Source organism: Homo sapiens, chromosome Y (assembly GCF_000001405.40).
Source record: "Homo sapiens chromosome Y, GRCh38.p14 Primary Assembly".
Lineage (NCBI taxonomy): Eukaryota > Metazoa > Chordata > Mammalia > Primates > Hominidae > Homo > Homo sapiens.
This window is the reverse complement of record NC_000024.10, coordinates 2,595,303-2,616,904: the sequence shown is the minus strand read 5'-3', so window position 1 is coordinate 2,616,904 and position 21,602 is coordinate 2,595,303. Positions and strand designations below refer to the sequence as shown.

The window sequence follows — 21,602 nt, the reverse complement described above, 5'->3', positions numbered from 1 at the left end:
TGGGCAATGTTTACTGTCTATAAATAATTCAAAAATGACTAGAAATCAGGGAGGACATACCAGAATAGAAGAATAAAAGACACAGTATCCCATACACAGAAGAAGAAGTCTCCATGGCCCACTGATGCATTGTTTTTGTTTCAAGTTTCAGAATTAAAGACGTGAAACTAAGACAAGGTTAGCATGACATTTTGCACTACTGGATAAAGATGTTTTGGTGAACACCAATATCGGAGACGGTGTGAGGAAAGGGTCATCTGCACACCCCGCCGCCATCAAAATAAATTGGTGCAATTCTGGGGCAATTTCAAAACCATGTCAGAAGCTACAAAAGTACTCACACACATCGATGTAAACAACTTGCACTCTAGAAATATATCTTCAAACATAAAGGAAAGTGCATGAAGGGCAGTCAAATTTGCTTTGTAATTGATAATTCCAAAACATCAGAAGAAACATAACTTCAGAATTAGGGATTACTTAAAGAAACCAAAGTATGTAATTAAGTCTGTAGTATAATAATGTAAAGTCGTATGATACAAACGATTAAATGACATGAGAAAATGGTCAAGGAATATTCTTATGCCAATAATAACATAACCAGCAAAAAACCATAAAAATGTCAACAGGATTTAGACCATCTGGATAGATTTCTGTGTTAAAAATTAAACAAACATGTAAAGAAAAACACTCAGTAAAAATCTAATTGTTTAAAACAAGTTGGCTTCTCCATGGGAAACACACAGATTCTTTTCCTCATATCAAGTCTACATCTAAAAGCTCTTATTCAATGATTTGGAAGTTCCATTTATCTTTGAAGTAAAATCAAGAAAAGGAAAATAAAATCCAAACCAAAAACATATTTTCGTAATCTAGGTTTTCCACTACTTGAACACTGGAATTACCTTGTAATTCAACAGTAGGAACAGGCTCACCTGAAATCTCCTCTTCTCAGATGACACGGACATCACTGCCAGGTAAACAACATAGAGACCACCCCGTAGGGTTAGAGGCTCTTATCAGTGAAACCAGGTCAGTTGGGATTTGGATCTGGCTTTGGTTTGGGGGGATTAGGTGGTGCTGGGTCACCTGTTTGTAAAACATGAGAGTTGGCGATCATCAGTGCCTTGCAGTCAAGAAAATGAAAAATCAATTTCCATGGCGACCAGAAAAGGAAATGAAAAATCAATTTGCATAGAGACCTTTCACTAAACAGGTAAAAAATGACCCTTGTTTTTGTCGTGGTGGGGATGCCCATACACATAGCCTCCTGCCAATTCCCTTCCATCATCTTCCAGCTACAGGATTTAACTTCAAGTATTTTCAAAGAAAACTAAGCCAGGTGTCCAGACCACCTCCAGAATTTGAGAGGCCCTGCACAAAATGAAAATGCAAGATTCTGTTCCAATTTTATGACGAATTTCAAGATGGCAGCTACTGAGTAATACACCAATATGGTGCCCTTGTATGCACAGGTCCCTGTGTGACATCACATGTCACATGCCCATGAAGTCTGACCTGGCCAGGGAAGTGACATTTGCCTTATATCATTCCAAAGTCTGTAACAATTTTAAAATAAAAGCCAGCATATTGGTGGGAAAAAAAACAAAAATCCAACAACAACAAAAATAAAACACAACAAGGCATATACTTCCAATATTTCCACTGTATAAACCCAATCCATGGATTATGCAAAAGAGATAAGTCTCTTGGAAATGACAGTCATTTGGTGACAATAACAAATCAGCAACAGAGGAGACTTTAACGAGTTACTCACTGTTTCCTCCCTCACCAAAGGCATCTGCTAAGTCAAAGTCTGCCCCTAAAGGAAGGAATCGGTCTGTTCATAGTAAAGCTCTGAGAAATGAGGAAGGAATGACCTCGGAAACAGATGGAGAAATCACCAGAGACCCACATGACTAAAGACTTTTCTGAATATCACACTGACTAGGATCTCATTTGAAAAAGTAAATTCCTGATCATTTTCACATCATTCTTCCCCCAGATGAAAAGAGTAAGAGATGACAGCAAGAGAAAGAGGGAGAGAGAAAGAATGTCATTTGTAAATCAACTGTGCTGCCTGGACCCAGTTGGGACTCTGAATCTGCCTGCACACAACTCTGTCCCGTTGATTCCCCATTATCTCCTCCCAGGTCCCCAACACCTTCAGCAAGGCAGACCGTAAGAGGTAGGGCAGGTGACTGTGATCTGATCTGTGACTGACGGATTCTGATCTGTGTCTGAAAAGTGGCTCTACCCACCCAGCTGGGCTCCACAAACTAATGTGACATTCATGCTAGTTTCAAAGCCAGCCTTCTAGTTCTTTTTTTTTTTTTTTTTCATATGGAGTTTTGTCCTTTTGCCTGGCTGGAGTGCAGTGGTGTGATCTCGGCTCACTGCAACCTCTGCCTCCCGGGTTCAAGCCATTCTCCTGCCTCAGCCTCCCGAGTAGCTGGGATTACAGGCATGCACCACCATGCCAGGATAATTTTTGTATTTTTAGCAGAGGCAGGGTTTCTCCATGTTGGTCAGGCTGGTCTTGAACTCCTGACCTCAAGTGATCCAGCCGCCTTGGCCTCCTAAGGTGCTGGGATTACAGGTGTGAGCCACCTTACCTGGCCCAGCCTTCTAGTTCCAAGCTTTTCAAATCCCAATTAAGGTCGAGGCACATTTTATATTGGGAGTGATAAGGGAGGCTCAAATGAAAGAAACATGAGGGGCTACATCAAAATGAATCTTTTTTTCAAAACCATATTAAAATACACAAGCAATGAATAAAAAGCACATGATTTTTCACATACATTGTATAGAAATAAGAAATCTCATGGTATGAGAACCTATGTGTTCAGAAAAAAAGTATACTAGAAGAGAAAGACACTTATTGAAATGACTTATTTTATTTAAAGGTGAATCTCTTTGGGTTTTTGTCCTAATGTCTGGAAAAAAAGTTGTCTACCATATTTACAACTCTACATATTAAAAGTTGTCCTGAGTCTTCTAGCAAAGGCCATAGAACTAAATTACAAATAAACTGTAAAGAGAACGTATAAATCTAGGAACAGGGAAAATTTTAAAAACCCATTACCAAATAACATGACCAACTTCTTAGAAAAGGTCAGAAATGAAGAGAAAAAAAATTGAAATTTAACAAAGGGTCATCATTTCATGGATTGCAAAAAATATATACACAATCTCTTCTACATGACAGAAATAAACAGAAAAATAGTGGACATGAAAATGGATTCAGAGTAACAAAAACAAGGAAAAAACACTTTAGAAACCCATTGACAGAATCAACAAGAGGAAGAGACAAATCGAATCTCAAAGAAAAAGCTCAGGCCGGCATGGTGGCTCACACCTGTAATCCCAGCACTTTGAGAGGCTGAGATGGGCGGATCACCTGAGGTCAGGGGTTCAAGATCAGCCTGGCTAACATGGCAAAACCCCGTCTCTACTGAAAATACAAGAATTTGCCGGGCATGGTGGTGCATGTTTGTAATCCTAGCTAATTGGGAGGCTGAGGCACGAGAATTGCTTGAACCCAGGAAGTGGAGGTTGCACTGAGCCAAGATCACGCCACTGCACTCCAGCCCGGGCGACAGAGAGAGACTCTGTCTCCAAAATAAAAAAAGGAAAGAAAATAAAAGAAAAAACTCAACATTGAAAACGTGTTACCATTCCTTCAATCAACCTATGGTGATAAACAATTCAAATGAAATTAAAAAGAAGGTTTTACTTCTCTGAAGAGAAGGGACAATAGCAAAATGATTCTCAATTTAAAAGGAAAAAAAGTTACAAAAAGCAGGATATCCACACAAACATAAGACACCATAAAAAAATAAACATACCACTTGTAAAACATTCCTGTTAAAAATATTCAAAGGCAAAAATAAAGTGCAAAACCATTTTCATAATAAGTGGCTGGTAATCTTTAATATTGATAAATCACTGAAGAAGGCTCATACATCAGTAGGTAGGGAGGCTGAGGCAGGCAGAACATCTGAGGTCAGGAGTTCCAGACCAGCCTGGCCAACATGGTGAAACCCCATCTCTACTAACAATACAAAAATGAGCTGGGCCTGGTGGCGGGCACCATGAATTGAAGGATCAAAGCCAAAGCATCCAATACACAAAAGAAGAAGTCTCCGTGGCCCATTGGGATGCATTATGCTTTTTACATTTCAGAATGAGAGATGTAAAACTAAGACCGGTTTGATATAATAATTACACTATTTGACAAAGGTTTTGTAGGTGATAATTGCTACTGGAAAAGGTTCGAAGACAGGGACATTTGCAGACACCCTGGTATCAAATCAAATTGGTGCAATTCTGGGGCAAACAACCAACCAGGTTAAAAGCTATAAAAGTACTCATGAGCATTGATCTAGACAATTTGAATGCCAGAAATCTCTTCAAAGGAATGAAAAAGAGTAGACAAAGTTGACTCAAATTGGCTTTGTAATTCATAATTCTAAAATGTCAGAAGACACAATGTTTTCAACATTAGGGATTAAAGGAATTAATGTATTTTATTATATATTTAGATAGAATAGTATTTGTCAGTAAATGTCATATGATAGAAATGAGAAAACATGAGAAAATGTGAATTAATATTCTTATGAATAAGTATAAAATAAAGTTACAATAAACAATATAGAGACCACCCGTAGGGTTAGAGGCTCTTACCAGTGAAACCAGGTCGGTTGGGGTTTGGATCTGGCTTTGGTTTGGGGGCATTAGGTGGTGCTGGGTCACCTGTTTGTAAAACATGAGAGTTGCAATCATCAGTACCTAGTAGTCAAGAAAATGAAAAATCAATTTCCATAGCGACCAGAAAATGAAAAATCAATTTTGATAGCGACCAGAAAAGAAAATGAAAAATCAATTTCCACAGCGACCAGAAAATGAAAAATCAATTTCCATAGCGATGAGAAAAGAAACTGAAATATCAATTTGCACAGAGACTGTTCACTAAACAGGTAAAAACTGGCCCTTGTTTTTGTCATGGTGGGGATACCCATACACGTAGCCTCCTGCCAATTCCCTTCTGTTGTCTTCCAGGTACAGGATTTAACTTCAAGTATTTTCAAAGAAAACTAAACCAGGTGTGCAGACCACCTCCAGAATTTGGGAGGGCCTGTGAAAATGAAAATGTGCGACCCATTGTTCCAACTGTATGAAGAATCTGAAGATGGCAGCAACACAGCAATAAAGCAGCATGGCACCCTTGTGTGCACAGGTCCCTGTGTGACTGCGCAGATCTATGCCCACGAGGCCTGACCTGGCCAAGGGAGTCACATTTGCCTTACGTTGTTCCAAAGACTAACCATTTTAAAATAAAAGCCAGCATACTGGCTGGGCGTGATGGCTTGCACCTATAATCCCAGCACTTTGGGAGGCCAAGGTGAGTGCATAGCTTGAGTTTAGGAGTTAGAGACCAGCCTGCTCCACATGGCAAAACCCAGCCCCTACTAAAAAGACAAAAATTAGCCGGGCGTGGTAGTGGGTGCCTGTAATTCCAGATGCTCAGGAGGCTGAGGCACAAGAATCGCTTAAGCCCAGGAGGCGGAGGTTGCGGTGAGCCGAGATCGCGCCACCGCACTCCAGCCTGGGCCACAGAGTGAGACTCTGAACCTACACTTCAAAAAAAAAAAAAAACAAAAAAAACAAAAAAACCAGCATGCTGGTAACAAAAAAAAAATATATCAAAAATCCAACAACAAAAATAAACAACACATATACTTCCTATGTTCCCACTGTCCAAACTCAATCCATTTATCACGCAAAAGAGATGTCTTGAAAATGATAATAATTCAATGACAATCAGCAAAGTCAGCAACAGAGGAGACTTTAAAAAGTTACTCACTGTTTCCTCCATCAGGAAAGGCATCGCTAAGTCAAAGTCAGCCCTTAAAGGAGGGAAATGAGCTGTTAATACCAATGTTCTGAGAAATGAGGAAGGAATGACCCAAAAACAGGTGGAGAAAACACCACGGCCCCACGTTTCTAAATACTTCAGAAAACGTGAATTCCTATCTTCTCATCACTCTTCCCTCAGGTGAAAACAGTAAAAGATGAGCATGAGACAGAAAAAGAGGGAGTAAGAGAGAGAGAGGAGAGAGAAAGAGGGGGAGAGAGGAGATAGAGGAGAGAAAGAGGAGAGGGAGGAGAGGGGGGAGAGAGAGAGGAGATAGATGAGAGAGGCGGGAGAGAGACAAGAGAGAGAGGAGAGAGAAGGAGAGAGTGAGGAGATAGAGAGAGGAGAAAGGCGAGAGACAAGAGAGAAGGAGACAGGAGAGAGAGAGATGGGAGAGAGAAAAGAGGAGAGAGAGGAGAGGAGAGAGAGAGGAGAGAGGAGAGGAGAGAGAGACGAGAGAGAAAAGGAGAGAAAGAAGAGGGGGAGAGAGAGAAGAGGGGGAGAGAGAGAAAAGGGGAGAGAGGAGAGAGGTGAGAGAGAGGCGAGAGAAAGAGGAAAGAGGGGAGAGAGAGGGAGAGAGGAGAGTGAGGAGAGAGAAAAGCGAGAGAAAGAAGAGAGAGAAGAGAGAGAGGGAACAGGAGAGAAGAGAGAGAGAGGAGAGGAGAGAGAGAGGAAGAGGGAGAGAAGAGGAGAGAGAGAAAGGAAAGAGAAGAGAGGAGAGACAGAAAGAGAAGAGAGACTGCAGTATCCATAAGATCCATAAGAACGTCACCAGGGTTGGGGGGGAATCGGATGCCACCTCTTCCCCAGGTTCCCCTAAATTTAAGAGTTTGCGATTCTGCAAACTGTAGAAGGAAAATTAAAACTTGGAACCCCAGTTCACTCTGCCAAAATAATTAATAATAATAATAATAAAGCTGGAAGCTGAGTCAGGCAGGAAGCTGTCTTTCCTTCTGTTCCCAAGCAGACAGTGCAATAACTCTCTGTTGACCTTATCTTAGTAAAGTGCCAATTTAGTGAGCGCAAGACAAATACATAATTGACTATTCTACCTGCTGCTTTTCTTTTGCAACAGGTGAATTCGGTAAAATGAGCCTTCCTCCTTCTTTCCCCTCCAGCGTGCTTTCCCCCTTTAAATACCGAAGCTCTCAATAGTATCTTTGGAGAAAGGCATAGACCCGTCTCCCGGGCTCCTTCCTGATCTTCGCCGAATCAACTCAAAAGGATTGGGACTTGTCCCAGATACTTTTTGGTTTACGAAAGAAACGCTGGCTTTTTCCTCTGAAACGGCTCCCACCTGGCCCCAGGAAGAGCGCTGGGGAGAAAGTGGGCGCCTCCTCCGGACCTGGGTCCCCGTGGGCACAGCGCGTCCCGCCGGGCACGGAAGAGGGGCCGGGTGTCCCCGCGGGGCGCCCCGCCCCTGCACCCCACATCCCCAGGCGGATCCCCAGGCCCAGCCCGCGCCACCCCCCGCGTCCTCCCACCCGGATCCCGCCGCTCGCTCACCGGGGCGGCCACCAGACGGCGGAGCAGGCCGAGGAGCCGCAGCGCCAGCACGGCCCCGCGCGCCACGGCGCGCCCAAGGCGAGCAGAGATCGTCCGCGAGTGCAGCGCGCGGGCGAAGGCGGCGGGACGGAACCTCCCCCACGGGCCGGGTGGGGCGGAGCCCGCGGAGGACTCGAAGGGGTTGGGTGAGGGGAGCAGCCCTGCAAACTCAGCCCAGGCTGCGCCTGCCCCGCCCCGCCCCACCCCGGCCTCCACTGGCGCACGGAAGGGGAGGGAACGCCGGGCCCGGGGAGGGGACAGAGGAGGGGGCGGGCGGAGGTGGCTCGGGCCGCGCCGAGGGGACCACGGGACGCCCTCCTTCCCTTCTCAGGAAACTGTGAGTGCCCCCCGCCCACAAGCCCGTCGCCAGGATGCCGCCAACTAGAGCAAAGTGAAACCCCCAACATTCTCGGGAAAGTGCGGGTCCCTCCCTCTCTACAGCCCCTTAAATGCACGCCCCAGGGCGGCCCCTACCTGGAGCCAAGAGAAACCGCTGCCCTTCTTGGAGAGGTGTGGGCCTCTCCGCGCCCGCCCTTGCTGTCCCCTCTCTGTTCCTAACAGGCACCCCCCCCAGGCAGCCCCAACGGGGAGGAAATGAAACTCTTCCTGCTCCTCTGCTCGGAAAACTATGGGGCCCCCTTCCAGCTGCTCACGGGGCGCTCAGGGCGATCCCCAAGGGGTGCAAAGTGCAATCCCCTCCCTGCTTAGAAAGGCGTAGGCCTTGACAGGCAGCCACGGCCCCTGGTCCTTTCTGGAGCGTCCGAGCTGGGGGCGCTCAGTGGTGAAAGATGGCGGGGGTGGGGGGCTTTGAGACACACTGCGGATACCCGCTCTGCGCGGGACCAAGGACGTTCTGCCGCAAGCTCAGAGACAGGGTTGGGAGTGAGGACTTGTGGTCGTGGTTTGGGGTTGGGGGTAAGACCCCTATCTGGGTCGCCTGGCTGAGTCCTGGTCCTTGGCGACTCACCCCAGCAGGCTGCGTCAGGGGCCCTTCGGTAACACTGGTCTTGTGCTGTCTCAGGCCTGCGGGTGACTCCGTCTCTCCCCAGGCCACCTGTGCCCCTGGATCAGACACAGGCAAGGCCAGAGGGGCTGGCCCCGCACCCTGGGGCCCACCTCAGGGGTTTGAGGAATGCAGCAGTCTAACTATGCACTCCACTCCTGGAGGCAGAATCATTTTTCTTTTTTCTTTCTTTTTTTTTTTTTTTTGGTCTTTGCTTCATCCTGAACCTGCCTGGGATAATGACGTGATGGCTGGAGTCCCAGCAGCCAGTTCGAAGCAGGAAGTCTCCTACAGGATAGAAGTTGTCTGTGTGTTGTTTGTTTGTTTATTTGTTTGTTTTGAGATGGAGTCTTGCTCTGTGGCCCAGGCTGGAGTGCAGTGGCACAATCTTGGCTCACTGCAACCTCCGCCTCCCGGGTTCAAGTGATTCTCCTGCCTCAGCCTCCCCAGTACCTGGGATTACAGGCATGCACCACCATGCCAGGCTACTTTTTGTATTTTTAGTAAAGACAGGGTTTCACCTTGTTGGCCAGGCTGGTCTCGAACTCCTGACCTCATGATCCGCCCACCTCGGCCTCCCAAAGTGCTGGGATTACAGGCATGAGCCACCGCACCCGGCCAGAAGTTGTATTCTAAGCATGGCAGAACACGTTGAGCAAAGGTATCAGGGTGGCTGATGATACAGCAGGACGGCTGTGCCAGCCCGACTCACATTCCCAACTTCTTTTACAGGACAAAGGAGTACATTTTTATCTTACCATTTGCTAAAGTTAGGTTTCTATCAGCTTTCTTTAAATCACTTTTATTTCTGGTTTTCATTACCAAGGTCTGAGCCCAACTTAGAGACCTCCCGTGAGGTTCTTGTGGGCAACCAAAGCACTTAAGAGGTGTCAGAGCATCACACACCATGTCTGCTGCACAGACGATCAAATGAAGCTTTTGAAGTCAGTGGATGATGGGTGGATAGATGGGTCTGGGGGTAGGAAGTGGTGGATGGATGAATGAATGGACAGACAGCCATCTGGATGCGTGAATGGATGGATCACTTGCTGGAAGGATGGATAAAGAGATAGATGGCTGGATGAATGAATAAATGGGTGGATGGATGGAAAGATGAGTGGATGATTGGATGGATAGATAGTTGGGTGGATGGATGAATGGATGGATACATAGATGAATAAATGGATGAATGGATGGGTGGGTGGAGGAATGGATAAATGGACAGATGAATAAATGGATGGATGAAAGGGGGGATAGACGGATTGATCTATGGATAGATGGACAGATAGATAAGTGGGTGGATGGGTGGGTGGATGGATGGTTGGAAGGATAGGTGGATGGACAGATTACTGGGTGGCTGGAGGGGTAGAGAGAGATGGGTGGGTGGGTGGATGGATGGATAGATGGGTGGACAGATTACTGGCTGGCTGGATGGATGGGTAGAGATAGATGAGTGGGTGGATGGATGGATGGATGGATGGACGAATGGATGGATGGATAGATAAGTGGACAGACGGATAGATAGCTGGATAGATGGGTGGGTAGAAGAAGAATAGATGGATGAGTGGATGGATGAGTGAATAGATGGATTGATGGACAAACAAGTAAATTTTTACCTGACATTTTTGTATTGTGTAACTTTCTGTGTGTTCATTCATTGGGAAACAATTGTGATACATGGATATTGGACTTATTAGCTCACGTCTGCTGATAAGAAAACAACACAGGGCCATAGAGTTCATTAGCAGTGGACTGGGATCAAAACGAAGGGCTCTTTGATTTTGAGTTCAGGCCATTTGGACCACTTTGCCTTGTGACTGCCCCCAAATCACTGGAATTTTCCTCGGGGTTCACAGCGCCCAAAGGTAAACAGTATTTGGTAGCCTAGAGTTCATACATTGGAAATTTCATGGTCTGTGCCCCCTCAGTGGTGCAAAGCATTTTTACAGCAATAATTAATTTGGCAATAACTTAGTGTGTGAGCCTGTGTATGCGTCTTTTCAGCTGGCTAGTACAGTACCAGTGATGCCATGTTTGCACACTAAATACCAGCCAGAGACATGCAAGAAAAGAAGGGCAGGCCAGGCACAGTGGCTCATGCCTGTAATCCCAGTACTTTGGGAGGCCGAGGTGGGTGGATCACCTGAGGTCAGGAGTTCGAGACCAGCCTGGCCAACATGGTGAAGCCCCATCTCTACTAAAAATGCAAAAATTAGCTGGGCATGGCAGTGAGTGCCTGTAATCCCAGCTACTCTGGAGGCTGAGGCAGGAGAATCACTTGAACCTGGGAGGCGGATGTTGCGGTGAGCTCAGATCACACTACTACACTCCAGCCTGGGCGACAGAGCAAGATTACATCTCAAAAAAAAAAAAAAAGAAGAAGAAGAAGAGGGGCACAGCCTACCAGATCTGCTGAGACACATGTTTTTTATCTGAACTTTTGGGGGTCAACTCAAAATCCAATCAACAGATGACAATGACATCCTAAAAACTGTTCCCAGATCAGACAGTAAAATTTCACAGATTCTGTCTTTGAGTCATGGGGATTTACGTCTCTGTAGATTCAGGAGAAACATCTCATGCATACAGTTCCAGAGAGTCAGGGACCAGCCTCTTCTGTAAAGAGGGAAACAAAATGAAATTGCGCATTGGCATGGACCGGACGCAAGAAGACATCACTGATTTAAGCTCCTTTACAAACTCTATCCTAGGAAGCACTTTCCTTCTTCACTTTCAGCAGTCAAGCCTCTCCAATGTCATTGCGTCTAAACCTGTTGACATGATGGGGCTGTGGTTCACCTGGAAGATGGGCTCTATTCCTGACCATTCTGAAGGCAAAGAACTTGAAATAAGTTCAAATTCAAGTTGCAGCACATCCACGGAGCAGCTGGAAGTGCTGCCTGTGGCCTGTCGTAATGGCAGGGTAGCAGTGAGAGAGAAATATATTTCCTCACCCATCATTGGGTTCATGACTAAGGCCCCTAGAACAAAAGACAATAGCAAGAGAAAAGCAGGCCCATGTATTTAGGTTTTACGTGACACAGAAGCCATCATAAAGAAAGAAACAGGAAAATCTGAGTATTTTTACGCTTAGGTTTTCTGGTTTTTTGTTTGTTTGTTTGTTTGTTTTTGAGACGGAATCTCACTCTGTCACCCAGGCTGGAGTGCAGTGACGGGATCTCAGCTCATTGCAACCTCCACCTCCTGAGTTCAAGCGACTCTTACCATGTTGGCCAGGCTGGTTTCGAACTCCTGACCTCAGTTGATCCACCCACCTCGGCTCCCAAAGTGCTGGGATTACAGATGTGATATGCTTACTTTTAATGAAGAGTGGACAGTGATGGAGAAGTATGACTATTGGACAAAAACGTTACAGGAATGGGGTCCCAATCCAGACCGCAAGAGAGGGTTCTTGGATCTCAAGCAAGAAAGAATTCGGGGTGAGTCCATAGAGTAAAGTGAAAGCAAGTTTATTAGGAAACAAAAGGAATAAAGAATGGCTACTCCATAGAGCAGCCCCGAGGGCTCCTGGTTGCCCATTTTTATGGTTATTTCTTGATGATATGCTAAATGGGGGGTGGATTATTCATGCCTCCCCTTTTTAGACCATGTAGGGTAACTTCCTGACGTTGCCATGGCATCTGTAAACTGTCATGGTGCTGGTAGGAGTGTAGCAGTGAGGACGACCAGAGGTCACTGTTGTGGCCATCTTGGTTTTGGTGGGTTTTGGCTGGCTTCTTTACTGCAACCTGTTTTATCAGCAAGGTCTTTATCACCTGTATCTTGTACCAACCTCCTATCTCATCCTGTGACTTAGAATGCCTTAACCATCTGGGAATTCAGCCAAGTAGGTTTTAGCCTCATTTTACCCAGCTCCTATTCAAGATGGAGTGGCTCTGTTTTACATGCCTCTGGCAAAAGGATCTGATCTAATGAGAATAAACTGCGGGAACTTAGCAGGGCCTGTTTGTTCAGATTCTTCTGTGTCCCTGCATGTTCAGAGTTAAGGATATTCTCTTCCTCCTGGTATAGGGAGGGCGCCTCTGGAATGAGGGTCCCCTGACCTGCTTCAGGGTAAGGTCAGAGAGTCCTTCCGAGGTTTTATGGCCTATGCTAAAGAAGAACCATGAGGGTAAGGTGAAAGTGACCTTCTTACTTAAATTGTTTTCTCAAATGCCACAGTTCCATATTTTGGTGGAATGTTTTCTGAACCCCATCAGGAAAAGCAAAGCAATGAGAAAACAATCTGGGGGGACAAGACAAGGAGATATAACAGATGGGGGAGGTTTGTGGTTGACTACATCACTCTTGGAGGCATTCGACCGAGGAATATTTCAGAATCTCTGGTAACACACACCAGGAACAGCCTAATCTACTCCCTAAAAGGAGTCTAGTTCATTACTGAGTTTATGGCTTCCCTACATTTCCCTGTTTCTGACCACAACCATTTTTTTTTTTTTTTCTGGAGACTGGGTCTCCCTCTGTCGCCCAGGCTGGAGTGCAGTGGCGCAATCTCGGCTCACTCCAACCTCCGCCTGTCGGGTTCAAGCGATTCTCCTGCCTCAGCCTCCCGAGTAGCTGGGAGTACAGGCATGCACCACCACGCCCAGCCAATTTTTATATTTTTAGTAGAGATGGGGTTTCACCATGTTGGCCAGGCTGGTCTCAAACTCCTAACCTCAGGTGATCCCTCTGCCTCGGCCTCCCAAAGTGCTGGGATTACAGGCGTGAGCCACCATGCTCACCTCCCCCGCCTGCCCAATTTTTTTTTTTTTTTAATTAGCCAGGCATGCTGATTGCTTGAGCCTGGGAGATGAAGACTGCAGAGATGTAATTGCACCACTGCACTCCAGCCTGGGCGACGGAGACCCTATCTCAAAATACAACCAAATAAAACAAAAAACAAGAATGCAGACTCAGAGTCCAGCCAAAACCAGGTTTTAGCTGCAAGACAGGTTATAGGAAGGAGAAAGGAAAAGGCTTTCCTAGCAAAAGTGGGCTTGTTATGTACATGCAGCTTCACAGGTAGCAGCCCCCAGAGAGAAGAGATGCTGAATATTTCTTTTCAGGTCTTTAAAGGCACCATACTCTCAGTTAATCTCTCCTAGATCCGGACAAGAGAAGAGTTGGCTGCCTTACAGGAGACCCTCTGCAGATCGACAGACGCAAGGTCCCCCACAAAAGACAGTGTTTCTTCTTCTTTTTTGTTTTTCTTCAAATTTTATTGTAAATTCAAGGGTGCACGTGCAGGTTTGTTACTAAGTAAACATGTGCCATGGTGCTTTGCTGCACAGATCAACCCGTCACTCAGGTATGAAGCCAGCATCCATTAGCTCTTCTTCCTGAGGCTCTCCCTCCCCCTACCCCCGACCTTTTCACAGACCCTAGTGTGTGTTCTCCTCCCCGTGTCCATGTGCTCTCATTCTTCAGCTCCCACTTATAAGTGAGAACATGCAGTATTTTATTTTCTGTTCCTGCATTAGTTTGCTGAGGATAACGGCTTCCAACTCCATCCGTGTTCCTGCAAAGGACACGAACTCATTCTTTTGTATGGCTGCATAGTATTCCATGGTGTATATGTACTATTTCTTTTTTTTCTTTCTTTCTTTTTGAAATAGAGTCTTGCTCTGTCACCCAGGCTGGAGTGCTGTGGTGCAATCTCAGCTCACTGCAACCTCCGCTTCCCGGGTTCAAGCGATTCTCCTGCCTCAGCCTGCCAAGTAGCTAGGATTACAGGCACCCACCATCACACCCAGCACATTTTTGTATTTTTAGTAGAGACGGGGTTTCACCATGTTGGCCAGGCTGGTCTTGAACTCCTGACCTCAAGTGATCTGCCCGCCTCAGCCTCCCAAAGTGCTGGGATTACAGGTATGAGCCACTGTGCCTGGCCACCGCATTTTCTTTATCCAGCCTATTATTTAGGCATTTAGGTTGATTCTATGTCTTTGCTATTGTGAACAGCGCTGCAATGAACATACGCATGCGTGTATCTTTATAATAGAATGATTTTTCCTTTGGGTACATACCCAGTAATGGGATTGCTGGGTCAAATGGTAATTCTGCCTTGAGGTCTCTGGGGAATCGCCACACTGTCTTCCACAATGGTTGAATTCATTTACACTCCCACCAACAGTGTCACAGTGTTTCTATTTCTCCACAACCTCGCCAGCACCGGTTGTGTTTTGACTTTTTAATAATCACCATCCTGACTGGTGTGAGATGGGGTCTCATTGTGGCTTTGATTTGCATTTCTCTAAGAATCAGCGGTGCTGAGGTTTTTCCATATGTTTTTTTTGGCCATATGAATGTCTTCTTTTGAGAAGTGGAAAGATAGCATTTCAGGAGTATTCCCCAATATATTAAAGAAATATATTTTGAGATAAAATATTTTTATTTCCTTTAGTACATTTTATTTATTTATTTATTTTTCTTTGAGACAGGGTCTTGCTCTGTCACCCAGGCTGGAATGCAGTGGTGTGATCTTGGCTCTCTGCAACCTCCACCTCCCGGGTTCAAGCAATTCTCCTGTCTCAGCCTCCCAAGTAGCTGGGATTACAGGTGCCTGCCACCACAGCTGGCTCATTTTTTTCTATTGTTAATAGAGATGGGATTTTGCCATGTTGGTCAGGCTAGTCTCAAACTCCTGACCTCAGGTGATCAACCCGCCTCCCAAAGTTCTGGGTTTACAGGTGTGAGCCACTGTGGCCAGCCTGTTTCTTTTCTTATACAAACAAACCTATAATGGTAAGGTTTAATTTATGAATTAGGCACAGTGAAAGATTAACAACAACAGACTAATAATAAAATAGAACAATTACAACAATATACTGTAGTAAAAGTTATGTGAATGTAATGTGCTCTCTCTCTCTTTCATGTGTGTGTCTCACTCTCTCTCTTGAAATATCTTAGTATTTTCAGCCATAGTTGACCAGTGATAACGGAAACCACATGTTGTAGGCTGTTCTTGCATTGCTGCAAAGAAATACCAGAGACTGGGTAATTTATACGAAAAAAAGAGGTGGGCCGGGCACGGTGGCTCACGCCTGTAATCCCAGCACTTTGGGAGGCTGAGGCGGGAGGATCACTTGAGATCAGGAGTCTGAGACCAGCCTGGCCAACATGGTGAAACCCTGTCTCTACAAAAAATACAAAAAATTAGCCGGGGGTCATGGTGGGTGCTTGTAATCCCAGCTACTTGGGAGGCTGAGGCAGGGGAATCGCTTGAACCTGGGAGGTGGAGGTTGCAGTGAGCTGAGATCACACCACTGCACTCCAGCCTGGGCGACAGCAAGACTCCTGTCTCTCTCACACACACACACACACACAAAGGAGGTGTAATTGGCTCATGGTTCTGCAGGCTATGGAGAAAGCACGGCACCGGCATCTGCTCAGCTTCTAGGGCCTCAGGAAGCTTCCAGTTATGGTGGAAGATGAAGTGGGGGTAGGCACATCACACGGGAAAAACAGGAGCAACACGGGGGTGGTGAGGGTGCCACAGCACTAAAACAGCCAGATCTGGCAAGAACTCACTCACTATTTCGAGGACAGAAGTAAGCCATGAGGAATCTGCCCCCATGACCCAAACACCTGCCACCAGGCCCACCTCCAGCATTGGGCATGACAATTTGACATGAGATTTGACAGGGACAAATATCCAAACTCTTTCACCGTGGAAAGCAAAACCACAGATGGGGCGGGAGGGCTACTGTACATTGTGCAGAAATGCAGCTCCTCGGAGCCGGCTGGGGGAAGGAGCAGGTCTCTCAGCTGCTGAACAGTTTTGGGAGATTACCTACCATCACTTCTCTCTGTCCCAGAATCACACAAAATGGTCAGCTGTGCCAAGTGCCTTGCCCAGTTCTCTGCACCTTTCCTTCTGTCTCCTTCCACGTGTGACCACCCCCTTCACCATCCTGTCGTCGCGTCTAAAGCTCCCTCCACACATTGCGTGATAGCCAGTAAGTCTAGACACAAGGTGTGAAGGTAAGGACAGCAACTTTATTTTGAAGAACCAGCAAGTCAAGAAGACAGAAGACTGCTGTCCTAAAAAGCCATCTTTTTTTTTTTTAATTTATTATTATACTTTAAGTTCTGGGACACACGTGCAGAATGTGCAGGTTTGTTACATAGGTATGCATGTGCCACGGTGGTTTGCTGTACCTGTGAACCCATCATCTAGGTTTTAAGCCCCGCAGGCATTAGGTATTTGTCCTAATGCTGTCCCTCCCCTTGCCCCCCACCCTGCAACAGGCCCCGGTGTGTGATGTTCCCCTCCCTGTGTCTATGTGTTCTCATTGTTCAGCTCCCACTTATGAGTGAGAACATGTGGTGGTTGGTTTTCTGTTGCTGTGTTAGTTTGCCGAGAATGATGGTTTCCGGCTTCATCCATGTCCCTGCAAGGGACATGAACTCATTCTTTTTTACGGCTGCATAGTATTCCATGGTGTATATGTGCTACATATTCTTTATCCAGTCTATCACTGATGGGCATTTGGGTTGAAAGAACCATCTTAATAGAATTTTAGGCTGCTTTTATGCCAGGGGGAGAGGGAGGGTGGTAGAGGGCAAGAGGTGAGCAATGACCACAGACATCTGGGCGGCTATTATGGTCCAAGGGGCCTTGTGGAACTTCCTCATCCTTGGTCAGGTCACAGTGCTCTTATAAATCTTTGACATAACATTGTTCCTTCTGCGCACATCCTCCTGATCCCCTCGGGGGTTATTTTTGGGAAGGGACTATGATCATTCTTGCTTTAAAGTTAAACTGTAAACTGAATTCATGATTAGCTTGACCTATTTGTAGGAATGAGCAAATGCAGTTAGCTTGTGAGGTGAGAAGCAAGACAGAGTGAACTATGTTAGAATTTTCTCACTGTTACATTCACACATAGGTTCTTGGCCAAAGAAGCAGACGACCAACACATTCTCTCTTTTTTTTTTTTTTTTTGAGACGGAGCTTCGCTCTTGTCCCCCAGGCTGGAGTGCAATGGTGCGATCTTGGGTCACTGCAACCTCTGCCTCCCGGGTTCAAGCGATTCTCCTGCCTCAGCCTCCTGAGTATCTGGGATTACAGGTGCCCGTCACCACGCCTAGCTAATTTTTTATATTTTTAGTAGAGACAGGGTTTCACTATGTTGGCCAGGCTGGTCTCGAACTCCTGACCTCAAATGTTCCACCCACCTCAGCCTCCCAAAGTGCTGGGATTACAGATATGAGCCACCACGCCCGGCCCAACATGTTCTCTTGTTAGAGGCATTTGAACCAGAGCAACTCAATCTTGAATAGGAGCTGGGTAAAATGAGGCTGAGACCTGCTGGGCTGCATTCCCAGGAGGTTAGGCATTCTTAGTCACAGAATGAGATGGGAGGTCAGCACAAGATACAGGTCATAAAGACCTTGCTGATAAAACAGTTTGCAGTAAAGAAGCCGGCCAGAACCCACCAAAACCCAGATGGCGATGAGAGTGACCTCTGGTCATCCTCGCTGCTCATTATACCCTAATTCTAATACATTCGCTTCTCAAAAATACTCCCAACAGTGTTGTGACGGTTTACAAATGCCATGGCAACATCCAGAAGTTACCCTATATTGGCTAAAAGGGGAGGAACCCTCAGTTATAGAAACTCCCGTTTCCCAGAAAACTCTTGAATTTAGCATATAATATGGCATTCAGATTATATGCTAAATGCCCTTTGTTTAGCATATAATCAAGAAATAACCATAAGTATACTCAGTCAAGCAGCCCACGCTTCTGTTCTGTCTATGGAGTAGCCATTGTTTTACTCCTTTACTTTCTTTTTTTTTTTTTTTTCCCTGAGACAAGGTCTCGCTCTGTTACCCAGGGTGGAGTCCGTTGGCACAATCAGAGTTCACTGTAGCCTCAACCTGTTGGGCTTAAGCAATCCTCCCACCTCAGTCTCCCAAGTAGCTGGGACCATAGGTACATGCCACCACACCCAGCTAACTTTTTTATTTTTGGTAGAGACGGAGTTTTGTCATGTTGGCAAGGCTGGTTTCAAACTCTTGAGCTCAAGCATTCCGCCCATCTCAGCCTCCCAAAATGTTGGCATTACAGGCATGAGCCACCCTGCCCAGCCCTTTTACTTTCTTAATAAACTTGCTTTCACTCTGTGGACTTATCCTGAATTTTTTCTTGCATGAGATCCAAAAACTCTCTTGGGGTTTGAATTGGGACCCCTTTCCAGTAACACTTTGACTCCTCTCCTGTTCAGATGTCATCACTCCCTCCAGCAAACCTGGAGTGTTCAAACTCTTTTCCATCCATCCTTTCCTTTCAAGGCAAAGAGGCAACTTGGCTATTCTCATAGACACACAGATAGGAGATGTAGGAATTCATAGGAGACATTCAACTCAGATGTTAGATCTATTGATAAACAAGATGGCAGCTTGTCTTGCTGCTTAGATATAAAAGATGCTGTTGCTTGCTTGCAAAAAAAAAAATGAAGCACGTTCCTGGAGTTCACCAATATGGCGTGGACTTTACCTCCTCAACACTGTCAGTCAGTGCAAGATGGTCCAACCTCTGGGTGCCAAGACACGTGATCATTTTCCCAATGCCATTCTCTTATCCCTTGAGCCTGCTTTCCCACCTGCTAAGGTTTGGATCTGTGTTCCCACCCAAATGTTATGTCAAATTGTAATCCCCAACGTTGGAGCTGGGGCCCATTGGGAGATGGTTCGGTCATGGGGGTGCTTTTTCATGAATGGTCTAGCATCCTCTTCTTGGTGCTGTTCTCATGCTAGTGAGTGATTTCTCACAAGATCAAGTTGTTTAATAGTGTGTGGCACCTCCCTTCTCACTCTCTCTCCTGCTCCTGTTCTAACCATGTAAGATGCACCTGCTTGCCCTTTGCCTTCTGCCATAATTGTAAGTTTCCTGAGGCTTCCCCAGTCAGGCTTCCTGTCCAGCCTGCAGAACTGTGAGCCGATTAAACCTCTCTTCTTTATCAATTACCCATTCTCAGGTATTTCTTTATAGCAGTACAAGAAGAGCCGAATACACCACCCATTGAGCAGATTGGAAGTGCAAGAAAACTAGCATATGCCCCCATCCTGGAAGCAACCTCAGCCAACACATGTTGGGAAACGACAGAAAAAGACCCCGGCCTTCCTCACTCTTCCGGTGGGATGACCCTGAGTCTCCAAGCTCTCATTGCAGTCACTGGCCTGATAATATCTTCCACTCTCTGTCTTCACTCCCTCTCCCCTCCCACTGCTCCCTGGGACTCACCCCCGCCCACCCTCCCCAAACACAAAAGCTTTGCGGTAAAATCACGGTCTCAAGGTCTGCTTTGGGGAGAAAAGAGTCACCTCCTTGAAATCTAGACTTTCTGTGCTTCCAGAAAACATGTTGAAACGTTACCTGTCAATTAAATTCCGGGAAGCCTGGGTGTGTCACACTTTGAATCATGTGGACAGACACCATGAAGAGCCTGGAGTTTGGTGAACTTTGTTGAAACCCCTCCATCACTCTCGTGGTCGAATCCAATCCAATCCTCATGTCCTCATGAGTTCGTTTTCATTTCCTAAATGACATCCATGGAAAAATAATGGGGAGAGAGGAAACACAATTTTACATTTGTATCTGACAGGCTCTGAAAGGGAGCTAGAGAATGTAGTTAGCATCCATAAATTATGGAAGAGGGTATTTCCCATCTTCTTAACACATGCAACACTTCTAAGGGGCCTGCAAAAACCCCAGCAGCCTTTCAATGTCCCCCACATCTTAGCACACATAAATATTTACATCTGTCCTATCAAGAAACAAATATGCATGCATATCATTATTTTGGAGATATAGCGTGAGCACTTTGTTTGCAAGAAAAAAATATGCATGCATATCATTTTGGAGATATAGTGTGAGCACTTATATTTGTTTGCAAGAAACAAATATGCATGTATATCATTATTTTTGGAGATACAGTGAATGCACTTTTCAGTTACATGCTCAAAATGGTATGCTAAACTGAAAGTGGTTGTCATTACCCTTAATTTCTGCAAGGAATAAACAAGTATGTCCTGGTGGCACATTGCTATGAATAAAGCAGACTATTTCAGGGCTATGGGAGTTCTATGGAAAGCGTGAGCCAAAACATGGTTTTTCCTGTGTCTTGTTTATGATGCTTATTCATAATGGGAGGGAACAGAATATTGGCTTCATTCATGTCCTTGATTTATGATGGAATCCATAGGAATCTGCCACCTTGGGTGAATGAGCAATACCTAAAGGAATGTCCTATAAGATACCGAGATATGCCACCCAAAATATGACTTAGGAGACCAAGATACGCCACCCAAAATATGACTTAGGAGACCAAGATTGCGATTTTTATAAAAAGCTCATCAGCAATCATTAGGGTTAGTGGGCTTTTTTGGTTTTTTTTTTGTTTTTGTTTTTGTTTGTTTGTTTGAGACAGAGTCTCACTCTCTGTCACCCAGGCTGGAGTGCAGTGACATGATTTTGGCTCACTGCACACTACAACCTCCATCTCCCAGGCTAAACCAATTCTCGTGCCCCAGCCTCCCGAGTAGCTGGGAGTACAGGTGTGCACCACCGCACCTGGCTAATTTTTGCATTTTCCTTTTAGTAGAGATGGGGTTTCACCGTGTTGACCAGGCTGGTCTCAAACTCCAGGCCTCCAGGAATCCACCTGCCTTGGCCACCCAATGTGTTGGGATTACGGGAAGGAGCCACTGCACCTGGCCAGTGTATGTTTGTAAGGCTCACCCACACTGTAGCATGTGTCAGCACTTGAAACCTTTTTCTGCCTGAATCACATTCCACTGTATGGATATGCCATATTTTGTTAAATCCGTTCATTGGCTGAGGGACGTTTGGGTCACCTTCACTTTTTGGCTATTTTGAGTAGTGCAGCTATCAACATTACGTGTATAAATGTACAAGCTATTTGGTGGACACGTGTTCTCGTTTTTCTCTTGAGTATGTGCCCAGAAGCAGAATTGCTGGCTCATAGGGTGATGTGGTTTGGCTGTGTCCCCACCCAAATCTCATCTTGAATTCCCATGTGTTGTGGGAGGTAATTGAATCATGGGGACAGGTCTTTCCCATGCTGTACTCATGGTAGTGAATAAGTCTCATGAGATCTGATGATT

General features: G+C 45.7%; 2 long non-coding RNA genes, 1 other non-coding gene and 1 pseudogene across 7 annotated transcripts in view, besides 1 other annotated feature; 2 read left to right on the top strand and 2 right to left on the bottom strand.

The window, feature by feature from the left end:
- CD99P1 (CD99 molecule pseudogene 1) overlaps positions 1-7,640 on the bottom strand; it is a 47,965-nt pseudogene extending 40,325 nt beyond the window's left edge. For both annotated transcript variants that reach the window (NR_033380.1, NR_033381.1), the window contains exons 1-4: positions 7,424-7,640; positions 5,867-5,909; positions 4,687-4,755; positions 936-1,089 (exon numbers count right to left, since the gene is read on the bottom strand). The product of NR_033380.1 is annotated as a CD99 molecule pseudogene 1, transcript variant 1 (transcript). The remainder of the gene's footprint in view (positions 1-935; positions 1,090-4,686; positions 4,756-5,866; positions 5,910-7,423) is intronic.
- LINC00102 (long intergenic non-protein coding RNA 102) lies at positions 1,558-3,914 on the top strand. The gene is made up of 2 exons (NR_037842.1): positions 1,558-2,188; positions 3,209-3,914. It is a non-coding gene; the product is annotated as a long intergenic non-protein coding RNA 102 (long non-coding RNA).
- A 10-nt stretch (positions 7,641-7,650) lies between the features above and the next one.
- Positions 7,651-7,714, bottom strand: MIR6089 (microRNA 6089). Its single transcript, NR_106737.1, has one exon. It is a non-coding gene; the product is annotated as a microRNA 6089 (primary transcript).
- LINC03112 (long intergenic non-protein coding RNA 3112) overlaps positions 7,665-21,602 on the top strand; it is a 43,212-nt gene continuing 29,274 nt past the window's right edge. Inside the window, exon 1 of one of the 3 annotated variants that reach the window (XR_001756051.3) lies at positions 7,665-7,799. This is a non-coding gene — a long non-coding RNA (long intergenic non-protein coding RNA 3112). The remainder of the gene's footprint in view (positions 7,800-21,602) is intronic. The other 2 variants (XR_001756049.2, XR_001756050.2) reach the window with 2 other exon arrangements.
- Positions 7,843-8,367: an enhancer, noted in NCBI's record as "H3K4me1 hESC enhancer chrY:2476579-2477103 (GRCh37/hg19 assembly coordinates)". NCBI's record gives its function as "activates a minimal SCP1, AML or CMV promoter by ChIP-STARR-seq in primed H9 embryonic stem cells {active_cell/tissue: H9 hESC(primed)}" and the evidence as "EXISTENCE:reporter gene assay evidence [ECO:0000049][PMID:30033119]".